The sequence below is a fragment of the Homo sapiens genome, chromosome 1 (genome assembly GCF_000001405.40).
Source record: "Homo sapiens chromosome 1, GRCh38.p14 Primary Assembly".
NCBI classification, from domain to species: Eukaryota; Metazoa; Chordata; class Mammalia; order Primates; family Hominidae; genus Homo; species Homo sapiens.
Genome location: NC_000001.11, coordinates 119,832,297 through 119,859,945, shown reverse-complemented (window position 1 = coordinate 119,859,945; position 27,649 = coordinate 119,832,297). Strand labels below are relative to the sequence as shown.

Sequence of the window (27,649 nt, the reverse complement as noted above, 5' to 3'; positions counted from 1 at the left end):
AAGGACACCTGCGGTGGACATGAAAATGCACTACTTGCATCTCCAGCTGCAGGAGGCCTAACAAATCAACAGCCCCAGCTGCTACACTCCGAATCGAGGACTTGATGACATTTCCCCCGGATCTGTACTAGCCCATGAGGAGGAAACCCTCATATCAAGTCCTCCCAACAGAACACTCATGATGACTCATGAGGATGTGGAAGCTGTTTTCCTGTGGCAACTGTGACTTTCTTTCTTCAAAGTCTGTTTTGTTCCTGCATATTAACTGATTTATATAAAATAAGAGAATAAATGCCTAGACTTCCATGAGTCTATCTTTTACTGATAAACTCTAGTTCTGTGAACAGAAGCTTGATGGAATCAGTATAGTGGGAATTTATAACCTGTCGTCCAGTTCTGAGACCTGGAGCTTCTTGACTGAGGGGAGATCGGGTCCCTTTGGGGAAGAAAGAAGCCTTCAATGTTGTCACAAGTGTATCCTGTAAATCTTCCTCTAGGCCTTCCCAGAGGGACCTGGTATATGACTTATGATACGGTGACCCCAAATTCAGGATGTTCTCGTCTGCTCTCAAGAATGCAATATCTTCTCCCTCAGGATTCAACCTAGTACCAGTATTTGTGTATAGCTACGCACGTTAATAGACCATAGCTAATTAGTTGAGGAATGGTAGACCCAATTCAACCATACAGGCATCAACCGTATCAGCATACAGGCATCCCTTTCCCACCGTTTCATTCTTGTCCCCACTCCAAAGTCTTCTTCATTTTATTTGTATTAATTTTCTATTGCTGCATACAAAATTACTGCAAGCTTTAGAGGCTTAAAATAACAACCATTTACTTTCTTGCAGTGTCCACAGATCAGAAGTTCAGGCCTGGATTAGCTGGGTCTTCTTCTCCGGGCCTCACAGGCTGAGATTAGGCTGGGTTTCTTTCTGGAGGTTCTGGGGAAGAACTTCCTCTCAAGTTTCCTCAGGTTGTCAGCTGAGTTCAGTTCCTTGTGACTGTAGGACTGAGATCTCTGTTTTCTTGCTGGCTGTCAGCCAGGGGCCTCTCGCTGCTCCTAGAGGCCTCCTGTGTTCCCAGTGCATGCTTCCTCCAGCCAGCAGAGAGAATCGCCCTGCATGGAAACCCTCCTGCACTTCACATCTCTCCAGGAAGACCTCAGTCCCCCCAAGGAACTCACCTTCATTAGGTCAAGCTCATAAGATAATCTCTATCTTAGATTTGACTGATTTGGGATCTCGATTACATCTGCTGACTTGTTTTTGCCACAAATTGTAACAGAATCACAGGAGTGATAGCTCATCACTGGCTTTGTCTACACTCAGGAAGAAGTGATTATATAAGAGCAAAGATCACTGGGGGTCATCTTAGGATTCTGTCTACCATAATATTATAAAGACACAATAATTAAAGAGTATAACAGATTTCTGCTTCTGTCTGTTAGAATAAATCATATCAGACCAATCCTGCCTCCATAAACAACCATAAAATTGTTTTCAGACAGTGGACAACAGGCAGTACAACAGGATACTTAAGGGAGAAGCCCTGTGATTTCCTAGTTCTTTGTCTGGGAAGAATTTCTCAGCAGCTGCACAGTGGGCTAGAGTCCACTCAGAGCAGGGCAGCCCCACTGAGCTGAGAAAGAAGGCAGAGATCAGAGTTCAAGGCCACTGAAGAAATTGCAATCTGCAGGGCAGGGCACCAATAGGAGACAGCTGTTCAGAGGGGGAGCTCTCGAAGTCCATGTGGGGTTCCATGTGCATACTTATCAAGGACTAGACTGTACCTGCACGAGGAAAAGACTAACAGATTTAACAGAGGGGTGGCTGTTATAAAATTGAGTTTGGACCAGCGGTACTTGAGGTGGAGGAGGATTGGGGAATGGATGATGGAGTTCCTGCCATCCAGGGTGGGAAGAACCCATGCACACCTCATTAGCACCCAGGTATCCAACTAAGACACTAGAATGGCTGTGCTTTAGGAATAAGTGTCATGCTTTAAAACCCCTTCTAGACCAGCCCTAGTAAAGCCTGAAATCAAACCCTGTCAAAATCCACAAAGGGGTGGATTGGTGATTGAGTCCTGCCAAATTAGAGGGTCTTGGGAAATGCTGTGGGCTTTCCGTGAATCCACTGTAATAAAACATAAGCCAAATCCACATAAGTCCAATGTGATCAGGCAGTAATTTTACTGCCCACTAGAACAAAATTAATTCACACAATCAATGACAGAAGTTAGCCAAGTCGACATTTAAGCAAAATACGTCTAAGAACAGCTAACAAATAACTCTTCTCAAACTCACATAGAACATTCACCAAGACAGACCACATATGCTGAGCCATACTTAGTATTTTCTGTCCTTTCTCTTTGACTCATGTATACTGTGATCAAACTCTTAAAATTATACACTTTAATGATGTGCAGTTATTTGTATGTAAGTTACATTTCAATATATTTGTTAAAAGTTTATAATTAAAAAAAACTGTCCTAGCTTGATTCAAGAAATCTTTTTTATATTTAAAAAATATATTTTTTTGTATTATCAGTGCAAAAGAGAAAAACTGTATGATTACCCTGACATACACAGTAAAAGCATTTGGCAAAATTGAAAACTTTTTTCATGATTTATAAAAACAAACCCCAGAAAACTCTCAGATTGATAAGAACAGAAGGCACCAATTCCAACCTCATTAAGTGCAGATTTGAAAAACCCACAGGTAACATTATATTAAATGGCATAAGATTGAATGCTTTTCTATTAAATCAGAGAAAAAAATAGAATACCTGTTGTTACTCTTTCAATTCAGCATTATACTAGAGATCTAAATCAATGCAAAAAAGTAGGAAAAATAAATAAAGTATTGAAAAATTTAAAAATAAGGAATTGAAGCTGTCTTTATTCACAGATGATGACTGTGTGTAGGTTAACAATCCTAGAAATCTACAAAAATCTACCAAAACTAATTAGTGAGTTCGGTAACATTGCAGAATATAAGCTCAATATAAGTAGTCTTTTGTATTTCTGTATATTAGCAATGAGCATTTGGAAAATGAAATAAAAATACAATTTCATTTAGAGTAACATCTAAATACATGTTGTGCTTATAAATAAATTCAACAGACCAGACGAGGTGGCTCACACCTGTAATCTCAGTACTTTGGGAGGCCGAGGTGGGCAGATCATGAGGTCAGGAGATTGAGACCATCATGCCTAACACAGCGAAACCCCATCTCTACTAAAAATACAAAAAATTAGCTGGGCGTGGTGGCATGTGCCTGTAGTCCCAGCTACTCAGGAGGCTGAGGCAGGAGGATCACTTGAACCTGGGAGGCAGAGGTTCAGTGAGCTGAGATCACATCACTGCACTCCAGCCTGGGTAACACAACGAGACTCTGTCTCGAAAGACAGAAAGAAAGAAAGTCAACAAAATTTATTCAAGGCCAGTACACCAAAAACTACAAAAAAAAATCACTTTGAGAAATCATGAAATAACTAAATTAGTGGGGAGATAAACTTTGTCATGTATAAGAAGAGTTGTTGTGTTTAAAAAGTCAGTTCTTCAGAAATTGGTCTCCAGATCTAATGCAATTCTAATAAAAATTCCAACCGGCATTTTGGTAGAAATTTACAAGCTGATTCTACCGTTTATATGGTAATGTCAATTATCAATAATAATAAGACAGCAATATTATAAAAGAATAATGGTGAATGAATTCACTACCTATTTCCAGAATTACTCTACAGCTATGAAAATCAAGATCATGTATTTTGTTGAAAAAAATAGAACATATATCAGTGGAAGAGAAGAGAGAATCCAGAAATAGATACTCACATATATGTCTAATTAATGATTCTTAGGACATACATATACGTATACACACCCACACCCACATATATATATGTGAAGGTTTTTTTTTTTGAAGATTATCTATCATTATCTCCAAATAGGGAACAGTAAGATAACATAAAAAGAAGCCACAATAGAGGAGATATCATATTTATCTCCAACAAAGGGTTTTTTAAGTCTATCTATCTATCTATCTATTGCAGTCTGATAAGATAAACGACACAATGAAACAATTTCTCAAAAGACTTGAAAAGATACTCCCAGAAAAGAAGATACATGAATGGTCAATTATCATAGGAAAACATGCTTTGCTGTTTAGTCATCAGGGAGATCAATAAATACAGCAATGAGATACCAGTAGATATCCTTGAGAATGGCTAAAATTAAAAAGGTTGAAAATAGCATATGTTGGTGAGGATATAAAGCACTTGGAAGTCTTATACTTGTAGGAATGAAAAATGGTATGACTCCTTTGAAAATCTAACAGTTTCTTAAAGGTTAAACATATACAAATCAGATGGACAGTCATTCCATTCCTAGGAATTTACACAGCATGTCTGCACAGTGATCTGTATGTGTGTTTCCAGACCAAACTGAGGGGCGGGCTGCTATTTCTCGTGGCCCAGTAACGAGATGTAGATGAACTGGGGAGGAAGAGAGTTTTTACTTCTGCAACTGGTTACAGGGAAAAGGCCTGGAAATTATCACCAGACCAACTCAAAATTACAAAGTTTTCCAGAGCTTATGTACCTTCTAAGCTATATGTGTATGTGGAAGTGTGCATTCATCTAAATACATAAGTGATTAACTTCATTTACTCTATAACTAAGGTCTGAGTCCTGAAGACCTTCCTCTGGACCTCCAATAAACTTGTTTCTGGAGGCCTGGGGAGTTTCTTCAGACCCCCAATAAAACTTGTTTAATACTAAATGACTCCTGTTAAGAATTCCTTCGTTATTTTGTCATGCTCTAAGGCCCAGAAAAAGCCTAGGCAAAACTCTTGGTGGGCTTTTGTTACATTCCAGCCTTTGTATAAAGGCACTGGCTTTTTTTTTTCTTTCCTTTTAATATTTAACTGAACCACTCAGTCAGTACTGAAACAGTTGTTAGGGAGGCCTGCATTAGTGAGACCTGGCCTGCCACATATGGATGCTCATGATAGTTTCTTCATAATAGCCCAAACGTGGAATGATAGAAATGTCCAATAACAAGTAAAAGGACAAACAAACATGGTATAGCCACACGAAGGAATACTACTCAGCAATTACAAGGCATTAACTGTTGATGCAAATACTCATATGGATGGATTTTAAAATTACGTTGATGCATGAAAGAAGGCAGACACAAAAGAACACAGGTATCATTTCATTTATAGAAAATGGTTAAAAATGCAAACGGACCTGAAGTGACAGCGGCTCCTTGGGGCTGAGGGTTGAAAGACTGATGAACTGCAAAGGGGTACAAGAAACTTTGGGGCATAGGGAATTTCCTCTATCTTGGTTGTGGCAGTAGTTCCGTTAGTGTATCCATTTGTAAACATGCATTGAATTACACATTTTAAAGTGGTGCAGTCTGTTGTACCGAAATTATGCCTTTATAAAGTTGATTTCATCATCTTAATTTCTCCATACTAGCAATTAGCAGCTAGAAAATGAAATTCAATAAAACATAATAGAGATTAATAGCTAGAATCATTACATGCTTAACAATACATGCAATGAAGCAGGTACAAGGCCCCTAAAAGCAATTGATGAGAAAAATTAAAGAAGACTACAGAAATATATATCATGTTCATTGATTGAAAGTCTCAATTTTGTTAACATATTACATCAACACAATTCTGATTAATATTTCTAGTAGGAGATTTTAGAGAAATATAAAAGCTAATTTCAAAATGTATTTGAAAATCAAAGAACCTAGAATAAGCAAGTCGATCTTGAAGAAGCAATAAGTTGGAGGACTTACTCTGCTAGATTTCAAACCTGATTTTAAAGCTACAGTAGTTTAAAAATGGTAGTACTGGTGTAAGTATTCATAAATATATCAAAGTAAAAGAATACAGATTCAAACAATATGCCCACATATGCACAGTTATTTAATTTTTTAGTAGAAGCTTTTTTATTCATAAAAATTCCATCAAAACAAAAAAGTTTTCCAACCACACACAGGAGGGGTATGGGTAGGGGAAGCTGTCTGTCCATCTATCCCTGGCCCCCAGCCCATGCGGTTTTGGCAGCAATAAGGGGTGTGGGGTAATGGCCCCCGAAATTAAAATGGTGTGTGTATGAGAAGGAAAGGGGGGCAAAGTTGTGGGGAGCGGTGGAGGGGAAGGAACAAAGGAGGTCAGTACTGGGAACGCTGAAGGTGGGAGGCCATTTCATAACATTTCTTTGTTATGAAATGGTGAAACTGCCGTGGACACCTTTGCCCATCAGCAGGCCTAGCGTCTTGGCAGTCATGGTGATAGTGACATTGAAGGTGGGGGCTCCACCGATGCTCTTCACATGAAGATCCGCGGTCAATTCCCCATCCTGCAGCAGTGAGTCCGGGACCACAGTATATTTCTGGCCCCCCAGTGTCAGCCCATTCACGAAAAAGTTTGACCAGTCTTTGCCAACCAGGACACCAACCTCAGCTGGCGTGATGTTGACGAAGATTTTCCCTGGGACGGCGGCCCAGATGGAGGGCGAGTCCTTGTTGCCCACAATGGCTGTGTCCTAACAGGTCCCGTCCGCCATGAGGCTGTAGATGGAGGCGTCCACCTGGCCGTCGCGCTGCTGCAGGGGCTCCTCTGGTCGCTGCTGCTGGGGCCGCCTGGGCTGGCGGGCGGGGGAGGTGGAGAGCTCGGGGCAGGCGCGCTCCTCCTCACCACGGCTCTGCTAGCTGTGCAGTAGCCCTCGCTCCGCCACTTCTTTTTATATATATGTATATATATTTTTTATTATTATACTTTAAGTTCTAGGGTACATGCGCACAACGTGCAGGTTTGTTGCATAGGTGTACCTGTGCCATGTTGGTTTGCCGCACCCATTAACTCGTCATTTACATTAGATATTTCTCCTAATGCTATCCCTCCCCCAGCCCTCACCCCAAGACAGGCCCCAGTGTGTGATGTTCTGCGCCCTGTGTCCAAGTGTTCTCATTGTTCAATTCCCACCCATGAGTGAGAACATGCTCGCACCGCCACTTCTAAATGTTTTAAAAACAAAGACACCAATGCCCTTCATTGGGGAAATGAAAGACTTTTAAGTAAAACGATTTTGAGTGAAATAATATTTATTGTTTTAAAAAGTTAATATTAACAACCACTCTCCATCATACATTGAAATTAACTTAAGATGTGAAAGTTAAAATTAGAAACCTTGTAAAGGAAAAAGAGGAAATAGTTTCATGAACTTGATATAGGAAAATATTTCTTAGACTAGATACTGTAGCACTTTCCACAGTAAGAAATCAAGTGAATTGCACTTCATTTTTGAAAACCTTCTGCTTATTATGTTGTTGTTTAACAACTAAAAAGCTATCTGTAGACCAGGAATAATTATTTGCTATATAATACAGCAAAAAATATGTATATATAAATGGACTCATTCAAAATATATAAAGAACTCCTATAGTTTACAAAGAAAATGACAAACACCCCAGTGTATCAATGAACATAAAAAATTGAAAAGATATTTTCCATAAGAAGACATCTAAATGAACATTAGGCATGAGAAAACCAAAATAGGATATCACTACACACCTGGTAGAATGGCTATTATTTAAAAAACTGAACATATTAAGTGTGTGGAAATGTAGAGCGACTGGAAATGGCCTACATCTTTCACAGAAATGTAAAATAATACAATTACTTTGCAAAACTCTGTGCCTGTTTTCTACCCATTCACCAAACAACTCCATCCCTAGTTACAGATACTCAGGAAAATAAGTATGTGTCTTCACAGAAATAATTGTATGAGAATATTCATAGTTACTTATGCACAGTAGCCAACAAGTAAACCTGTTTCTCTACCCGTTCACCAAGCAACTCTATCCCTAGCTATAGATACCCAGGAAAATAAGTATGTATCTTCACAGAAGTAATTGTATGAGAATATTCATAGTTACTTATGCACAGTAGCCAACAAGTAAACCTGTCTCCCATCAGAAAAATGGATATTAAATTGTATGATAGTCATACCATCAATAGGATATTACTTGGCCAAAACAAAATGAAACAAGGAAAAAACACAATCAAACAAATTAGTGGCATATATACCCACCTGAGTAAAGAGAAGTCAAAACAAGAGAACATACTAAATGATTCCATTTTGTTATTGTTTTGAGACAGAGTCTCACTCTGTCTCCCAGGCTGGAGTGCAGTGGCACGATCTCGGCTCTGCCGCCTGGGTTCAAGAAATTTTCCCTGCCTCAGCCTCCCAAGTAGCTGGGATTACAGGCACCTGCCACCACACCCGGCTAATTTTTGTATATTCAGTAGAGACAGGGTTTTGCCATGTCGGCCAGGCTGGTTGCGAACCCCTGACTTCAGGTGATCTGCCTGCCTCAGCCTCACAAAGTCTTGGGATTACAGGCATGAGCTACCAGGCCCGGCCAAAATGATTCCATTTTTGTGAAGCACACGAATAAGCAAAATTAATCTATAGTGGTTGCTATAGTTTAGATATTGGTCCCCTCCAAATCACATGTTTAAATGTGGTCCCCAGTATTGGAGGTGGGGATTAATGGGAGGTGTTTGGGTCATGGGAGTGGATCCCTCATGAATAGGTTGATCCCCACCTTGGGAGAAGGTAGTGAGTGAATTCTCACTCTCTTAGTTCCTGTAGGAGCTGGTTATTAAAAAGTGTCTGTCACCTTTACTTGCTCTCTTTTGCTTCCTCTCTCACCATATGATCTCTGCACACACTGGTTCCTTTTCACCTTCTGCTGCAAGTGGAAGCAGCCTCAGGCCCTCATTAGGAGCAGATGCGAGTGCCATGCTTCTTGTGCAGCCTGTAGAACTATGAGCAAAATGCACCTCTTTTCTTTATAAATTACCCAGCCTCTGGTATTCCTTTCTAGCAACAAAAAGGGACTAAGGCAGTGACAACATTCAGAATACATTCTTCCTTTGGGGGATGAGTATTGACTTGCAAGGACCACATCAGAACTTTGTGGCATGGAGGAAAATGTTGTCTGTCTTGAACTGGGTGTTATTATATAATGTATAATTATGTCAAAATTTATTAAGCTGTACCTTTAGGTTTTTTGCAATATACTCTATGCAAATTATACCTCAGTGAAGAACTGTTAGCATACAACAAAGAGAGAGAAAACACTCAAAAATGTGAAAATTGACAGAATATAGGTAACAAATATTTAGCATATAAATAAGAGGGATCAGTTGAGAAGAAACCAAAAGCAATGGAATAGAACAAAGACAAAAAAGTATAATAAAAAAGTTTTAAATTTCAAAGTTTGAAATGATATTAAAGTGGCACAGTTTCCTTGGGAAAATCAAGCGAGAACCACAAACTCTGAGACTAATTCCAGCAAAAGTATGTAAATCAGTTTGATCTAATGGTACACGGTTAGCTTTGAAGGCCAAAAGGAAATGGTTTCTAATTCTTATTCCTCTCTTCACTAGTTTTGTGACCTAGGGAAATTTTGCAATCTTTCTGAGTTTGTTTTCTCATCAGGAGCAGGATAATACCTAAGTAACAGGATAGTTCATAGATTTAAATATGATTGCATGGCAGTGGACATGGACCATAATTAATTGTTAAGAATATATTTACACTGAGCTCTCCTTAATCCACGTTAAAATTGTAGACAAACAACGATTGACAAAGAATAGACAAAATATTCTAACATAAATATTCTTCCTTTGTTTCTAGAAAGAAGTCACACATATAGTAAAAATAATTAGGGAGGACGTAGTTCATATTGAACAATCTTCCCCAAATCCTGAAGCAGGTCTACTTTCTAACACCAGAGATGTCTTGACTGAGTCCAACTCCTGTGGTCCCCTCTGTCTGGAATAGACGGTAGAAGTTTGCTCCAGCCTTAGAACAGCATGGGCTGGCAAGCGTTCTCAGAGAGCCTCTCAACTTCAATTCTAAAGGCCCTGAAGAATATGTGCAACTGGGTCGGGTTAAGGCCAAGCTGAACCACATGACCAGGGCTCTCACCAGTGCCAAAGTCAGTGGAAGGATATCGGTCCCCAGAGCTCTGTTACAGGCCACGGATGCTCCATGGAGGGGTGGTGAGCATATGAATAACAATCAGGAGAAATATCAGTAATGGACAGAAGGCATAAATAAACAATGTCCACCCTCCACTAAAACCCAGGAAAGTTCTCATTCAAAAAACGATGTATTAAAGAAAACATAGGTACAAATCTTTGTGACTTTGGATTAGACATTTTTTAAGAAGGCACAAACAACCCCAAAATAGATAGATAAATGGACTTCATAAAATAAAAAACTTGTATGCTTCAAAGGACATTGTCAAGGAAGTGAAAAGATGATCCACATAATGGGAGAACTATTTCCAAATTATGTATTTGACAAGGGTCTAATACCTAGAGTATATAAGGGATTCATATAACTGAGCAATAAAAGACAACCACATTTAACAATGGGAGAAAAGTTGTGAGTAGAGGTTTCTCTAAAGGAAACACACAAATGGCCAAGAAGCACATGCAAAGATGTTCGATGTTTTTCATCATTAGGAAAATGTAAATTCAAACCAAAATGAGATACCACTTTACACCCATTAGTATGACTTAAGAAAAAAATAAAGACAATACATGTTTGGAAAGTTATGGAGAATATGGAATTCTCATATATTACTAGTGGGAATGTAAAGTAGCATAGCCACTGAGGTTGGAAAACAGTGTGTGAGTTCCTCAAGAAGTTAAACATAAAAAAATTAAACATAAAAAAGTTAAACATAAAGTGATATATGATGCAGCAATTGCACTCCTAGGTTTATAACCAAAAAAATGAAAAACAGATGTTCACTCAAAAACATGTACAAAGCTGTTCATAGCAGCATTATTCATAATAGTTAAAAAGTGAAAACATTGTTAAATGAATAAACAAAATTAGGTATAACCATATAGTGGAATATTATTTGGCCATAAAATGTTGAAGTACTGCTGCAGGCTAAAAAGGATGAAACTTGAGGACACTATGCTGAGAAGCAGATGCAAAATGCCACAATTTGTTATTCCATATAGAGGAAGTGCCCAGAACAAGTACATCTATATATAGAGAAAGTAGATTAGTGGTTGTCAGAGACTGCAAGAAGGGGGGAATTGCAGAGTGACAGCCCATAGGTGCAGGCATGCTTTTTGGCATTATGAAAATATTTTGGAATTAGGTAGTGCTGCTGGCTGCAAACTTTTGGAATATAGTAAAAAATACTGAAAGGTATGCTTAAAAATCGTGAATTTTGTGATACATGAATTATACTGTAGTAATAATAATAATAACAACAGTAATAAAGCAAGGTGTCTTTCCACATCTCCATGTCCTGTATTTTCATTAAAAAACAAAAAACACAAACAAAAACAAAAGCATTTCAGGGCTAGCCTAAGTGGCTCACTCCTGTAATCCCAGCACTTTTGGAGGCCTAGGTGGGAGGATTGCTTGGGGCCAGAAGTTCAAAACCAGCCCGAGCAACATAGCAAGACCTTGTCTCTATGAAAAACAAAAAAACTAGCCAGAAATGGTGATGTGTGCCTAGAGTTCCAACTAGTGGGAAAGCTGAGGCAGGAAGATCACTTGACCCCAGGAGTTTGAGGTTGCAGTGATCTATAATCACCACTGCACTCCAGCCTGGGTGACAGAACAAGACCCTGTCTCAAAAAAAAAAAAAAAAAAGGCATCTCACTTTAATAGTGAGTGGCCAGAATATGATGCTGGCAGCATGTTGTGAGGAAATGTATTAGATGAAAGAAGTTAAATTCCAGTTTTCCTTTTTTCAGAAATGAGGTATAGGGGAGAGAAACACGTACTTGGAAAGAATTGACCCAGCTGAATTGGAAAATGTGGGAAGGGGATGGGGGAAGAGGCTGCTCCACCTGAGATCTGGCTCCAGGACTTACAGCAAGGGGAACTTGGGCAAGTTACAGATTCTCTGTGCCTCAGTTTCTTCATCAGCAAAACAGAAAGAATCATCCCATAAACTGTAAGGCTGATGGTATCAGCGGGTCCCTAAATTGACTGCACATCTGAGTCATGTTAACAAACACATTCCAGGCCCCACCTGAGCCCTCTGAATCAGAATCCCTGCAAGGAGGACGATGAACTTGTATTTGCACTGACTTTCCCAGCTGTTTATTACTCTGATCAACTTAGGGGTAGGACCCACTGAGCTGCATCACATCATTCCAAAGCCAAAACACAACAGCAGGACAAGAATATTTTCAAGGAAGTCTCTAAAGCAGAGAAGAAACTGTTGAGGGAACCTAGAAGTAAAGGAAACCTGGCTTGCTGGTCTCCATTTAAACTTTGAGTACAACAGAGACAAGAGCCCTTCGGGACACATGCCTGAGGCAGTGATAGTCCAGCTTTGGAAGAGTGGAAGCCCTAGTTTCAAATTCGAGCATGCTTTGAGTAGAAATTAAGTTTACCTCTTTTTGCACAGCAACATAGCCAATCTTTCCTAAGCTGCTCAGCTTACAAGAAAAGGAATCATACTGCTAAGAATTCAAACTTCAGCAGTCATGGGTAAGTAAGGAAGTCTTATAAATCTATTCTAGCCACCTAACCAGAAACCCGAAATTTAGCAGGTTCTTTCACTTTCAGGACAGTTGTGTTCACTAGATCAGAGGCATTGAGACATGAAGAACAGACCCCTAAAAAGGAAAAGTGTTCCCTTCAGTTTGAGGACATCACTGGAACATTAGGGAAGTGGGAACACAGCTGCCCACTCTACAGTATGGGTTGCCTTTGTGTCTGGAATGTGTCTGACATCCTGATCCCTGTGCCCATTTCAGTGAGCCTTGGGAGGACCCCGAATCACTGATGGAATTGGACAGTGCATGGAGATGGCTCAGCAGGACAAGGGTAAGTGCAGGGACAAGACCAGGTCATACTAAGAGACAATGAGTGGCGCTGATGGGGACAGACAAAGACAAAATCAAAAGTTTGTAACTCATCTTCAAAAACTCAATCAAACTAATAACAAACTTGGCCTTATGAGAAATAATAAGCATTTTTTCTATTTACATGAGAATTTAATCTCAAAACAGAAATCAGAAAAATATTAAGTCCAGGGCATAAAACCTAAAGCATTGCTCATATTTATTCTTTCTAAGTAGAGCAAAGAGTAAAATCTTCTCCATAAAGCATACATTGTGGTTATAAAAAGGCAAAAGTCTTAGTGAGAATCATTGGTATTCCATAGAAGAGTGAATTAAACACAGCCAAGGGAAGACCCAAGTCTCATACTTCTCTTGTATTTTCCAAAGTCCCAAGGAAATTCCAGGTGATAGAGGTTATTTCCCATACGGTTAAAGCAAGTTTGCAGACACTTCCGAATTTTGGTCCCAGTACACTAGGAGGGTACACCTCTGTCCTGGAAAATAATACAGGAATGAATACTCTTCCTGTGACTCATTCTGGTCATTCATCCAGCATCCCAAAAACCAAAAAATGGAAATATGGCCAAATACATGATTAGCTATCCCTCATCTTCAGGTTTATCACCTGTTACTTATGGATAATAGCATTACCATAATAGGATTATGATAAAAATACACTGTGGAAATATTAGCACAGTTTTGAACAAAATGCCTGGTATGAATTGTTCAATGAATAATTACTAAATAATTATGTGAATATTTACTGAATTGCATGGATCCTATGAATAATTACTGAATAATTATTGTGATTGCTTCTACTGGCAGTGCTGAAAACTCATCCCTGTGTGACCTCAAGTAAGCCATGTAACTTTGTGAACCTGCAGTTTTATCATTTTTAAAATGAAGAAACTTGATAGATTTTCATTCTGACACAGAATGTCAGGCCTCCCAGACCCCAGAAAATACATTGATTTAAAGTCTTTGATACATTTCAAAGCAGGATCCTTACAGTGTCATTGGAGGATTGTGTGGGCTGCAGAGAAGGATGCTTTCAAATGGGATTGATCCAGTCCTCCTTCCTTCATTTCCACATGAATGCTGAGCAGCCCAGGGTCACAGCCACTGCACCCACTCTTAGGAGACCTGGGCTACCGAACAGTCTCCCAAGTTCCAGGCTCACAAAACCTAGGTGGGGTTGAAAGCTAAGAAAGTGAGGAGGTGGTTCAGGGGATCACTCTTTCCTACTTGTTCCTCTCACCTCAAACTCACCTTCTACTGCGCAGCAACACTGAGGATCACCAACCAACCCTGACCATAAACTTATCTTGCCATGTTCTGTTAGTGGAATGTAACCAAAAACAAATGGTGTTAGTCCAACTCAGCAAAATATATATCAAACCATATTCCATAAGAACTGTTCATGGCCCTGTTCTTTTCAATATATGGGAAAATGAAATGGAAACAATAAAATAGCATCAAGTTTATGAAACTTCCCAAAATAGATGGTCACACATGTTTTCAGGAGATCTCTCTATATAAATGATTTTGATCACTTGATATCTTGAAAAGAGCTCTTGTGGCACTAGAATGACATTCATAAGTGACAAGTATAAAATGTAGTGCTCAGAGACATTAAAAAACAAATCAACCCATGTAGAGGAAGAGCTTTGGACGTAGGGATGTCAAACTGGTCTAGAGCATAATGAAAGCCCAAGATGGTGCCCCAGTAAGAAAAAAGAAATCAACATAACCATGGGATGCAGCAAGAAGAATACTGAGACAGGAAAGAAAACATTTTTAAAAAATGAATTATTCATTCACTTTCTAGTGGATACAGAAAAAACTGCAGAAGACCCAGAGGATATCAGGGCAGGCTAAAAGTTTGATATCTTATACCTGTGGAAAAGGCTTAAGCTCTGTTTTAACTTAGAGCAGGTGGGGTGACTTCATGACTACCATTAAGAAAATATAACCTGTTGGGAAACTGTTTCTGGTTGATGATGTTGTACAGACAAGAGATAAACAGTGAGGAATATGCTTAGATGTATTGGGAAAGAGATGGGTCTGTGGCATTGTCACAAGGGTACACGAATACTGAGAGTGAATGCTGAAGGAATGATCCCCATTGGTGGTGACCCTCAAGTGAGACCAGGGTGCCTGTGTTTCAGCAAAGCCTGGGCAATTGGAATGCAGGGCTCCTAAGATTCCATGACACCCCCACCTTCTAATTCTGTTATTGCAACTGCAGACCGTTACCTGGCATGCTGGCCACAATCTACCTCACTCTTGTCAGAGTCTGAGCTACAGGCAGTGCCTTCAGCTCTGAGCTCAGGCACCTCGAACCTTGTTTTTGTGGTGAAGGATCTTAAAGTGCTGTGGGGAGTGATCACGTTTTTCTCAACAGTAAGTTAAGAATTTCAGTTACTGACCTTCCTCAGTCCTGATTAAACCTATTCGATTTCACCAGTTTTTAACCCATCATGTGTTTGCGTTTCTTCTCCCCAGTCCCTGGCTCCACCTCTTCTGCCACAAACGTCACCATGGTGGTATCTGCCGGCCCCTGGTCCAGTGAGAAAGCAGAGATGAACATTCTAGAAATCAATGAGAAATTGCGCCCCCAGCTGGCAGAGAACAAACAACAGTTCAGAAACATGAAGCAGAAATTTCTTGTAACTCAAATGGCCGGCTTCCTGGCCAACCAGCAGAACAAATACAGTAAGATCTATAGGCTCACCATCATGAAAGTGATGAATGATGTCCTGTCTTCTCTCTGAGACACTAAATGCTCTCTCCATCAAAAGTAATTTCATCCTTCCCGTACTTCTAGGAAAATAGAAATGGGTATTTCAACATTTTGTTTAATTTGGAAGACAGAGGTAGCAAGGTATTTAGCAAATTTCCATGTTTGCAGTCAGGTGGGTGTAGGACTAGAGTTAAAATCCCAGTTATTGATTTCTGACACAGGCACAGAACGACCTGTTTTCTCCAAGAGGCTCAATCATGTTTTCAAGAATCCTCTCTGTACCAGATAAGATCCTGCAGACAAATAACATATATTCTGTTGTTCTAAATGTCTGAGACTAGTGAACTTTTATTCATTTCAAGCTTCTGTTGAGGCCCAATAGGCAAAGCTCTGTTCTAGGGCCCCTGGGGGAAACATGGTGTTAGTACCCAGTACCTGCTCTGAGGAGCTTCAAGAGACTCTGCTCCTAATAGATCCTGTGGTATCTATAAGTGACAGCATCGAGAGCTGGGAGTAGGGGCCATGTGCGGTGGCTCACTCCTGTAATCGTAGAACTTTGAGAGGCCAAGGTGGGCTGTTCACGAGGTCAGGAGTTTGAGACCAGCCTGGCCAAAATAGTGAAACCCCGTCTCTACTAAAAATATAAAAACTAGCTGGGCGTAGTGGCGGGTGCCTGTAATCCTAGCTACTTGGGAGGCTGAGGCAGGAGAATCCTTTCAACCCGGCAGGCAGAAGTTGCAATGAGCGAAGATCACACCATTGCACTACAGCCTTGGGGACAGGGCAAGACTTGACAAAAAAAAAAAAGAAAGAAAGAAAAAGAAAGCAGACAGTACCCTGGTGAGAGGGAAGTCCTGCCTCCTGGGGCACAGGCTCTTGTTCCTAAAGAGGAAGAAAGATCGCACCCAAGAATGTGTGGAGGTAGCAGTGCAGTGTGCAGAGCAGGGACCCTGGGCCTGTCTCCTGGGCTCCATCCAAGTTGTTTGTCGTGTTTTTTCCTCGGTTTCCTCATCTGTTCAGAGGGTACTACAATGATACCTACCTCTGTAAATTGCTGCAGTGAATTACATGAGCTATGTCTTGTCAATCTCCTAGAACAGTTATTGGCACAGAGTAAACACTATCTTTTAGTTCTTCATTCTACTGTTTCTAAATTAACACAAACTTTATTGGAATTTGGGCATATTTCCTTCATGGCCTTATGGTCTTATGTCTCATGCTTTATGCTTCAGATATGATTCTTAAAATCATATCCAAAGATAAGATTTAAAAATCAAAGATTGTTAAAACCTTTGACATGTTTGTCCTTGAAATTCCCAGTAAAAGGGAAACCATCAGTCCCACAGTCCTAGGGGCCTTCCCACCTGTGCGGGAAATCACTACCTCATGCCCCAGTGCAGTGTTTTAGAGGAGAGGCTGCAAGGCTTGGGAAAGTGGCCCCACATTCAGAGTCAGATCTCAGGGACTGTGACTTCTGACTCCACTTCGTTGTGGTTGAATCATCTTGTCAACTTCCTTGATGTGCCCTTGAGTTTCTCTTTCTTCGTCTCTAAATTTTGGAGGATCAGATGCCAGAAAGTCAGAAGACTGAAGAGTAAAGATGTGGAAGTCCCCATCTAGACCCTGGTACTGGGGACAGTTTTGTCCTTGGGATGGGCCTGGCTCCTGCCCTGTAGGCAGTGACCACAGCAGCATGTCCAGCCTTCCACTGAGGCAGGTGCATCTGTCTTTTCTCAGAGTATGAGGAGTGCAAAGACCTCATAAAATCTATGCTGAGGGAAGAGCTGCAGTTCAAGGAGGAGAAGCTTGCAGAGCAGCTCAAGCAAGCTGAGGAGCTCAGGTGAGGGGGCCCCGTGGGACAGGCAGGTGGGCAGGTTTGTAAATCTCTGAAGTACAGCATCTTGGCGGGGAGAAGTAAGAGCTAAGCTGGGCCAGGGGAAGGGCAGGAATTGCCATGGCAGGCTCACGACACACAAATATTTGTCAAACGGAGTACAAGGATAATAATAAGTTATGGGTTGCAGTTGTTTCTCAGAGCCTTGTTTTCTCTTTTTCAAACAAGTAATTGTTGAGGTGAAATTTGCATAACACAAAATTAAGCAAAGGAGTGGGAACCACCCAGCAGCATTCAGTATACTCAAAATGGTGCCCATAACCACCCCACTTACCCTTAGTCAGAATCACCTCCAGACTGACTGAGGCTTCTCATTCTTCCACTCAATCAATGTTGCCTTCTCAACCCTGTCATTCTTTTCTTCTTTTGTCTTTTCAATTTGCCCCATCTGCACCTGGCCTCATTTCTGTACATGGCTTTGTATCTAGTGGCCGCAAGATGCACTATGTGTATTTTCACATGGAAATGTCCATGGCCAGAGTGAGGAACTGAAAGGTTGTCTTTTTGTAACTGAATTAGGAAGACACCCACTTTTGTTTACAGAAGAGAAAGATGAATGGAACATCACCGAGGATCTTACTGGAGCCCTCTCTGATATAGAGGAAGCCTGTAAACCATTTTCTATTCTTTCCCTTGGCCACAGACATTTCTTTAAACATGTGCTGACCTCCTGCTTGGAGGTCTCCTTGAGGATATTGTCTCAGAAATCTCTATTGCAATATTAGAACTGATCACTCATCCCTTTCCGTGTTAAATTTTCTCTACTATCTCACCTTAGGCAATATAAAGTCCTGGTTCACTCTCAGGAACGAGAGCTGATCCAGTTAAGGGAGAAGTTACGGGAAGGGAGAGATGCCTCCCACTCACTGAATCAGCATCTCCAGGCTCTTCTCACTCCGGATAAGCATGACAACTCCCAGGGGCAGGACTTCCGAGAACAGCTGGCTGAGGGGTGTAGGCTGGCACGGCACCTTGTCCACAAGCTCAGCCCAGGTAAGGTGGCCACAGGCCCTGATGACCCAAAACCCCAGGCTTATGAGAGACTCCAGACCTCCACACCTCCACAATGACAGTTGTATCAGTGGTGTTTTTTTCCACTAAACATATGTGGCCATGACATGACCAGGACTTCCTGGGTAAGAACAGAGATGGGAAATCTGTGGGGTTGGAGGTCACAGTATTGCAAATCTTCCTCCTTCCTTAATGGAAATTGGTCTTTGGAACAAGAGGCAGCATCTATTTAGTTTTAAAGGACAGGAAGGAGGCTGTGAAAGGAGGGTGCTTGTTAGAGTGAAAAGAGCTCTAGACTAAGAATGAAGGTTCCCAGGCTATGTCTTCAGCAACGTTCTTAGTAACTGTAGATGAGTGATTGATTTATCTTTCCTGGGTTTCTGTCTCTCAATCTGCAAAGGCAGACACATTATCTCTTGCAAGTGTCTCTAGTAGTCAAATGGAAGAACACTTACACCTGCTTTTCAAAATGAGATAAAGCCCCTCACCATATGGTGTTGGAGAAGGCACTTGATATGGAGGCATTTGATGGTTGAAAGTGCTTCAGACTGGAGCACTCCCCATGCAGAGAATGTCTCTGAATAACACAGCAGAAGCCACATGGAGGGCCAGCAAAATCCCCTGACATGTGGAGGACTGTGGGAGAAGTTTATTTGTTCTCTTCTAAGAGAAATAAATAGGTTCTAAATGCAAACTGTGACAGGACACCAAGCCTGTGCCTGGGAATCAGATCTGTGGCAGGATGGGGGAGACAGCTGCCCAAGTCCAGAGAGAGGCTGCACAAGCCTCCAGTGATATGGAGAGCAAAAGGTCTTTTCAGTGTTTGGTTACATCTTGCTGGTGACCCTCCAGATCAGAAATGCATTGCCTGATGGACCAGGAAACCATGCCAGGTCATTTTGTTAAAGATAAAACAAGAGAGCTTTCAGTACAACACTGACCCATACATAGATGTTCATGTATCTGTGCACATTGGGCTGACTGTGCTTGCAGAGTGTGAAGTGGGAAATATCTGAACGAACACTTCTGTATTTGCAGAAAATGACACAGATGAGGATGAAAATGATAAAACCAAGGAGCTTGATAAAGTACAGGAATCACCTGCTCCCAGGTAAGACTGAATAATCAGGAGCAGGTAATGAGTGGTAAAATATGGAAAAGGTCTCAGCAAGAACACAAGGGAGGTGAAGGTAGTCACAGATTCCAGATGCAGGATAAAGAAAGCTGCAGAGTGCACTGATTTCATGTGCTCACCCAACAAGGAAATAGTCCTGTTAACATGCTTGTCCATTGTCTTCATTGTACCTGTAAGCATGACCCTCGATAAACTCACCAGCCCCGTGGATTTCCTGCACACACAGAGAAGACCTGTTCTCCCCTGTTGTGAAAACCAGGAGGAGGTGCAAAGCTGCTTTCTCCACATTTGTCTTTAGGTTCTTGTTAGGAAAGATAAATAGCAAAGAGGCAACAAGCAGAGGAATTAGGAAGTACCTAGCAAAGCTAAACACCAGGAAAAGTACCTAGACAAAAAAATTTACATTTTATGTCACAGTGTTAAAATAAAAAGGCCTAGAAGGCACACCATGTCTGGAGTCTATAATGGGCCCAAAGCCTGCATTCCCTTGGCCACAGTATGTGAAATTCAACCCAGCTAAGAAACAAGGTGTGGCAGCTGTTGTGTTTCTCTGTGTGTGCTGTGTGTACCATACAGGGATAGCTGAGTCTTCATCCTCCTCAGCTCCTATCTGTCCAGTGCAATGAACACCAGCTGCTCTCTTCCTCTCTGGCTCCCATGGTAGCCATGCTCTGTTGCAGAGAGAAGAGTATTGCATGTTCCCTCTTAAAGGGAACCTCCTGTTTGCTTTCTGGGACCACTCTCTTAATGCCGCCTGTCAAAATCAGCTAGGTCTCCCTGGGATCCAATCCCTCTCTGTTTAATCTTCTGTCATTTCTATCCCACCTGGCTCATCAGGGAGGAGCAGAAGGCTGAAGAAAAGGAAGTCCCTGAGGACTCACTGGAGGAATGTGCCATCACTTATTCAAATAGCCATGGCCCTTCTGACTCCAACCCGCCTCACAAGAACATCAAAATCACATCTGAGGAAGACAAAGTCAACTCAATTCTGGTTGTAGACAGTGAATCTTCTCAAGATGAATGGCAGGATGCTCTAAACATTCTTCTGGGTAACCTCTATTTTCCTTGTGTCTCATACCTCTGTTTAGGCTATGGAAGATCAATTCTGAGGATGAGCTGTATACACAAATATTGGTTTGAGTCAGAAACTAGGATGGAGCTAGGTGCTCCATATAATCACAGCACTTTGGGAGGCCCAGGTGGGTGGATCACTTGAGATCAGGTGTTCAAGACCAGTCTGGACAATATGGTGAATCCCATCTTTACAATAAATACAAAAAATTAGCCAGCTGTGGTGCTGCATGCCTATAGTCCCAACTATTCAAGAGGCTTAGGTGGAAGAATCGTCTGAGCCCAGGAGGTAGAGGCTGCAGTGAGCCATGATTGCACTGCTATACTCTAGCCTAGGCGACAGAGCAAGACCCTGTGTCAAAAAGAAAGAGAGAGAGAGAGAGAAAGAGAGACAGAGAGAGAGAAGTGAAAGAGGAGAGAGAGAAAGAGAAACTAGGATGGAATATTAAACACAGATACCTGTGGGTCAGAGAGCTTTCCTGTCCTCCTTGGCCCATGTCATGCCTTTGTCATCCTGGCCCCAGTATCAGGTTATTGGAACAGAGGCAGGTGTGACAAAGCCATAGCTACCTGTGTACAGGAGGAGTACAGGAGGTATCTGTCAGGCCTCTGAGCTCGGTTCCTATGTCTCTTGTCAGCTGCGATGGTGTAATTTGTGTCTCAATGTCCATGGAGTTTCTCTGCCTGTCTGAGGCCACTGACAGCCTGGTCCATTTATTTGAAGATGTTATTTCCCTGATTTCACAATCCTCATCTGCAGTATGGATTTCCTTTAAGCCAGCTGACTCCAACCCGCCTCACAAGAACACCAAAATCACATTTGAGGAAGACAAAGTCAACTCAATTCTGGATCTCCTTTGTCTCAGCTGTGCAGTGAACTGAAACCAGGACATCAACACTTGTACCCTTATCTTGCTTATAAGTTTCCATAAAGCAAGGCTGGGACCTGAGTTCTTCACCCCATGAATGGCTGCTGTTTCTGTGTAGCACCACAGATTTCTTTTCTTTCTTCTTTTTTTTTCTTTTTCTTTCTTTCTTTCTTTTTCTTTTTTTTTTTTTTTTTTTTTTTTTTTTTTTTTTTTTTTTTGGTGATGGAGTCTTACTCTGTCACCCAGGCTAGAATGCAGTAGCGTGATCTTGGCTCACTAAAACTTTCACCTCTAGGGTTCAAGTGATTCTCTTGCCTCAGCCTCCCGAGTAGCCGGTATTTCTGGTGTGCGCCACCACGCCTGGCTAATTTTTTTATTTTTAGTAGAGGTGGGGTTTCACCATGTTGGCCAGGCTGATCTTGAACTCCTGACATCAAGTGATCTGCCCTCCTTGGTCTCCCAAAGTACTGGGATTAGCGGCGTGAGCCACCCCGCCATCCCCACAGATTCTTTTTTAAGCAAAAGTTGTTAGAATTCATCCATCAGTTCAGTTTTCTATATAAATTTCTCTAACCATTCATTGACCATGATATATGAAGAGATAAATCAGTATTGCAGAAACACTTATGGAAAGTTGTTAGGGCAATTTTTGAAGATCTTAGGGAAAATGTTTTAATTGTTTGTGCTGACTTAGGGCAGAGGATATAAGATTAAGATCTACCAGATGAGGGAGATTTTGTCCCATGGATCTGAAAAGCAGGCTCATCTACTTCTGACAAGACTTAATCTAGGGCACATTAGAACGTTCCTGTCAGAATATCACATTCTTACACTGAGAATATTTATGTCCTTGTGCTATGACTGGACACTGATTTGGTCTTGTGTGAAGCGTGATTTGCATAATATGACCTGCTCTTCTGAATTTGTTTACAGAAAATCAAAATGATGATGAGGAAGAGGAAGGGAAAGCGCCAGTGCCCCCCCAGGTAACTCTGTGGATTTGTGGGCTGTTAGTTCAATAGTGACACCTGGAGACTGCAGATCCAGGGAAAAATAGAAAGTGATGAACAGAACTGCCTCATCCATTCATTCAACTGCAAATTATCCATTTTAACAATGCTGTCTTCCTGATTGTGGTGCTTGAGTAGGTTTCAATTTCTTTTCTTTTCTTTTTTTTTCTTTTTTGAGATGGAGTCTCGCTCTGTCGCCCAGGCTGGAGTGCAGTGGAGTGATCTTGGCTCACTGCCAGCTCTGCCTCCCAGGTTCACACCATTCTCCTGCCTCAGCCTCCTGAATAGCTGGGAATACAGGCGCCCGCCACCAGGCTGGGCTTATTTATTTATTTATTTTTGTATTTTTAGTAGAGGTGGGGATTCACCGTGTTAGCCAGGATGATCTCGATCTCCTGACCACGTGATCCACCTGCCTCGACCTCCCAAAGTGCTGGGATTACAGGCGTGAGCCACAGTGCTCAGCCAGGTTTCAATTTCTTAATCCCCCTCTTGCATAGGAACATGCTATCTGTTGAGCCAGGTGAACTCACCAAACTCAGGGATATCACCTGTTCTCTCCCGTGTGGTTAATCCAGAGTGAGACGCATGTATGCTTTCTATGTGTTTGATGTCAGCATGTTGGCAAGTATTTCATTACAAAACAGGGATATTGTAATTCATGCCAAAATATTTTAAAAATGGCTTTGAAAAGACAAGATCTGTGTATCTGGAATGCCTCAAGAGCTGTGTTTACTTGGGTGCTGCATGTAAACATCAACACGTTTAGGCATAGGAAGCGAAGCCCTGTGTCAGTTCTCTGTGCTGCAAGTCGTGATCGCAGTTTACAGGGGGAGTCTGGGTCCTCCTGCAACAGCTCATTTGTGGCAACCACACTCAGCATCTGCTGCTCACGTCTGCTCTGTCCCAAGGGCAGTCACACTCCACTCCACATTTAGAAGGATAGATTTTTCTCTCTTGGAGGAGACTACCCTTTTGGTTTCTGTGACCACTCCCTTATGTGTCCCATGAAATCACCTGAGATACCATGGTATTTAATCCCTCTTGTCACTCCTCTCCTGTCTGGCTCATCAGGAAGCTGCAGGAGTCTGAAGAGAAGGAAGTCCTGCAGGACTCCCCGGAGGAAAGGGTTACGACTTCTTGTAGTGACCATGATGTGTCCCAATCTTACCAACCTTGTGAAGGCACTTTCTTGGCACTAGTTGAACAGAAAGTTTGCTCTGCTCAGGATGTAGCCAGCGAACACTCCAATTCCAAAGGGGAAGAAACTCCACTTGGCTTCCCAGGTAGGCTTCCTATTCTTTGCATCCCACAACCTGTCTAGAATGACACATGTTTTTTGAATATTTTTGTGGATTGGGAGTGTCTTTGCTTCCTGGCAATCTTGTCATTGCTGGGTAATGTGAGAAAGATCAACAAAAAAGAAAATATCAAAGTGACTCCATTGGCTTCCCCTCACCCTTTGGGTGTCACTTTTCCTTACTTGATGTTCTTTGGGTAGAAGGAAAGTCACAGTAAGATCATCAATGCCAGTGGATCCCACTGTCTGTGGTTTTATTTTCAGAGCTGGGTTTAGAGCCTTCCCTTGCAATGAAGATCCCTCCCCAGCTGGAAGGTGATGCTCTTGAAGGTTCAGCTGACAACACACATGGGCATCAAGTCATTGGCCACATTCACGCCTCAAGTGTCCTAAAACCAAAAATGATCAAAAGAAAACTGCCGTTCAGCAAGTGGAGACTGGCATGCAGATTCTCTGGCCTGCAAGCTTAGAGTAGGAAGGTAATCACATCTATGGCTCTTAGCGGCCCTCACTCCTTATTTCTCTGTCTATGATGATAGCTCATTCTCCCACTGCTTTTCTCTTCCCTATTTGTGAGTATTGTCTGAGGCCTCTGCTACTTCTCATATCCTGGGTTCTTCCAATAGTCTGCTCTCCTGCATCTTCTCAAAAGACTGGGACATGGAGTTGTAAGGGGGTGGTTTTCTTTGCAAAGGGCCCTCTCCTTCTAAGCCCTCTGCTTCTGAGTGTGCATGGTTGATGCTGAGCACATCCTCCCTGGGAGGTGTGAAAAGCCATCACTCTGCTCCGGACAAAGGGGATCAGGAAGAAAGGGGCTGATGTCATCGGATGCTGGTTGGGCATAAGCAGGTCCTTCTATCTGCACTCCAGGCTGACTGGAAGTTCAGGGTTGTTTTCTTCTCACTTGTGGACGGCACTTGCCTCTTCAGCCAGCCGGAGGCTCAGGCTTCAGCTCATCCTCCCAGCAGAAGCTCAGTTTGCCCCTGGGCTATCACCACTTAGCAATCCCTCCAAACTCAGCCATCAGCAAGACCTGACATAGATGCTCTTTTCATTTTTCCTTTCCTCTCTCATACAGATACCAAATACTGCTGGAAGGATGAAAAGGATGAAAGGATGTCACAAAAAGTAGCTTTTCTGCTCGATGAAAAAAACTACAACAGCAAACCAAGTTCAATTCCAAACACAACACTGCAGGGCTCCTTCACTGAGGATTGAATTTTAGACACAGAATGCTCTTGATGATTGCAAACCACTAGGCTCCTTTGATTTGAGAAACCACAATTCATCCTATTTCCACTTGAGATGAATACCCAAGGAGACCAATTCCCAGATGGACAAACAGCATTGAGAGGCCTTAGCCCTGCTCCTCTCAATTCCATCCTGTAGAGAACAGGAGTCAGGAGCCGCTGGCAGGAGACAGCATGTCACCCGGGACTCTGCCAGTGCAGAATATGAACAATGCCATATTCTTGCGGAAAACACTTAGCCTGAGTTTCATAGGAAGTAATCAGCAGACAACTGCAGAATGTAGAACACTGAGCAGGACAACTGACCGCTCTCCTTCACACAATCCATGTCACCACAAATCACACAACAAAAAGAGAAGAGACATTTTGGGTTCAAAAGGATTGAAAAGATAATGTAGCTCACTTCTTTAGTCACTTTGAACCCAAAGTATCTCCTCATCTTTTTGTTGTTGTCATTGATGGTGGTGACATGGATTTGTTTGTAGAGGACGTCAGCTGTCTGGCTCAATTTTCTTCATTCTGAAGTTGTCAGAAAATTTCCTTATGATTAAATTCAGCCTAAATGTTTTGCCAGGAACACTGCAAAGTCAATGCTGTGAGTTTCCAACCTCAGTCCATCTGCGGGCAGAGAAGGTCCAGTTTGTCCATCACCATTATTGTGATATCAGGACTGGTTACCTGGTTAAGGAGGGGTCTAGGAGATCTGTCCCTTGTAAAGACACCTGATTTATAATTAATTTGAAAAGTGGTTTGAAAAAGTACAAATACCTGTATTCTAACAATCTTCCTCTGAGCATTTTATCATCAATTAATCACCCCTGGCTGTGTCAGTTATTATATTTATGTTTGTACGTTGGAAATTTTTATCTCAGTCCTTAGTATGAACTTGTTTCTGCTGGCATTCTGTTGTGAAAAAGAATATTCCCTGCCCAAATTTTAACTTTCATCCAAGATTAATTTTAGTCTATTAAAATTAAAATGTTTATGTTTTAAATCTGTTTAATTAAAATATTCTTGCCTATTACTCTGGACTAGTGAATTTTTTTTACACACAATGTTTTAAGCTTTTATTATTATGATTGTTTTTGGTGGGTAAGGATACAGATTAATAAAAACATTCTTATTTCCCTGTTTACATTCCAAACTCTTCCATATTTTAGTCTACATTTATCATATGTAGTAGTAGATGGTATTTACTACATTTCTTTGTCAATGTTATTTTGTTGTCTTTGTTTGTGTGTGTGTCTTTTGTTTGTTATTTAGGAAGGGTTGTGTAGCTCATGTTTGAAAGTGCACTAAACATGTTTTGGCATCATGTTTAAAAGTCCCCTTTTAACTTGACACACTTCTAATATTTGGTTTATACATTTTTAATCTTCTCTTTTGAATTTAAATTTTTACCACTATGACAACCAAAGATATTATTTTCCTCTTCTCTGACCTCTTAACCTGCCATTTCTTATGGTGTTAGTTCAACCCAAGCATATACCAGTGACCGCCTGTGTTTCCCACCTTGTCTCCACCTTGGCTTTTGGTTCAGATCCACAATTAAATATGCTGAGGCTCATGAACTATTCAAAAGTGAGTGTCCTGGGCATCACTTGTTGAAAGGAATTTATTCTTGACAGAGTCCTCATGGGGGAATAGGGGCTCGCTGAGTTTAGCATGCTTAATAACCTTTTCCCACTGCCTTGGTACATGGCGCACATCACTAGATAAAAGGTACTTGCCAAAAAAGATTTTTCTTGAGTTTTTAGAAAATATTGTCTTGCTTTAGAGGACAAGGATGGTGTTTGTTCTCATTCTGGGATTCTATTTTGTTCTACCAGGACCACTAATTTCTGCCAGTTACTTCATTCATTGTCTTCACCACGAGTCTCCAGAGGATGCTTTCTTTGTCCATACCTCCCCATCTCCCAACAATTCTGCATTTCCGAGACTGGCACCTCTGGTCCTCTGCACGGTGAAGCCCCTTCCTTTCAATTCCCCAGTAGCCAGTGCTCTAATCCACCAGGTCTCAGGCATGATTTCTGTTTCTCCACACTCGCTTTCTGAGGAGAGTTTTACCTGTGTTCTGTCATGAACAGGCCCTCCCTGCTGTCGTGGCCTCTATTTGCATAGTGTTTCCTGCTGTCTCTGCAGTTGTGTGGCTCCCAGACCCTGCTAAAGACAATCACCTGAGGGCCACAGGGTTCTCTACCCCTGGTGTTTAGGGGCAGGGATGTGGTATTTTTGACTCCCTGTTAATTCCTAGGGCTTTGAAGGGTATGTGGAGAAAATCAACTATTATCCTATCCTACTTCTTCAAATGCAGAACTTCAATAGTATAAAAAAGGACACAGAATCATATAATAGAACTCCTTCGTATGCAGTGGCCAGCTCAGCAGTTGTCATTGAATACTGAACTTTTAAAAATAACAATCCTTCCTACTTACT

General features: G+C 41.6%; 2 pseudogenes across 2 annotated transcripts, besides 1 other annotated feature; one reads left to right on the top strand and one right to left on the bottom strand.

Moving 5' to 3' along the window:
• Nucleotides 986–1,280: a silencer, noted in NCBI's record as "tiled region #12070; HepG2 Repressive non-DNase unmatched - State 23:Low". NCBI's record gives its function as "represses a minimal TATA promoter and a strong SV40 promoter by Sharpr-MPRA in HepG2 cells {active_cell/tissue: HepG2}" and the evidence as "EXISTENCE:reporter gene assay evidence [ECO:0000049][PMID:27701403]".
• On the bottom strand, nt 5,955–6,741 carry PFN1P9 (profilin 1 pseudogene 9; annotated as a pseudogene).
• Nucleotides 15,222–26,237, top strand: NBPF7P (NBPF member 7, pseudogene; annotated as a pseudogene). 2 transcript variants are annotated; one of them, NR_171566.1, is made up of 10 exons: nt 15,222–15,333; nt 15,436–15,645; nt 17,411–17,513; nt 18,346–18,560; nt 19,617–19,689; nt 20,551–20,762; nt 22,587–22,662; nt 23,738–23,949; nt 24,228–24,442; nt 25,042–26,237. The product of NR_171566.1 is annotated as an NBPF member 7, pseudogene, transcript variant 1 (transcript). The 2 variants fall into 2 exon arrangements; NR_171567.1 differs by lacking the exon at nt 24,228–24,442 and having other exon boundaries at nt 15,222–15,645.
• The last annotated feature ends 1,412 nt before the right edge of the window (nt 26,238–27,649 follow it).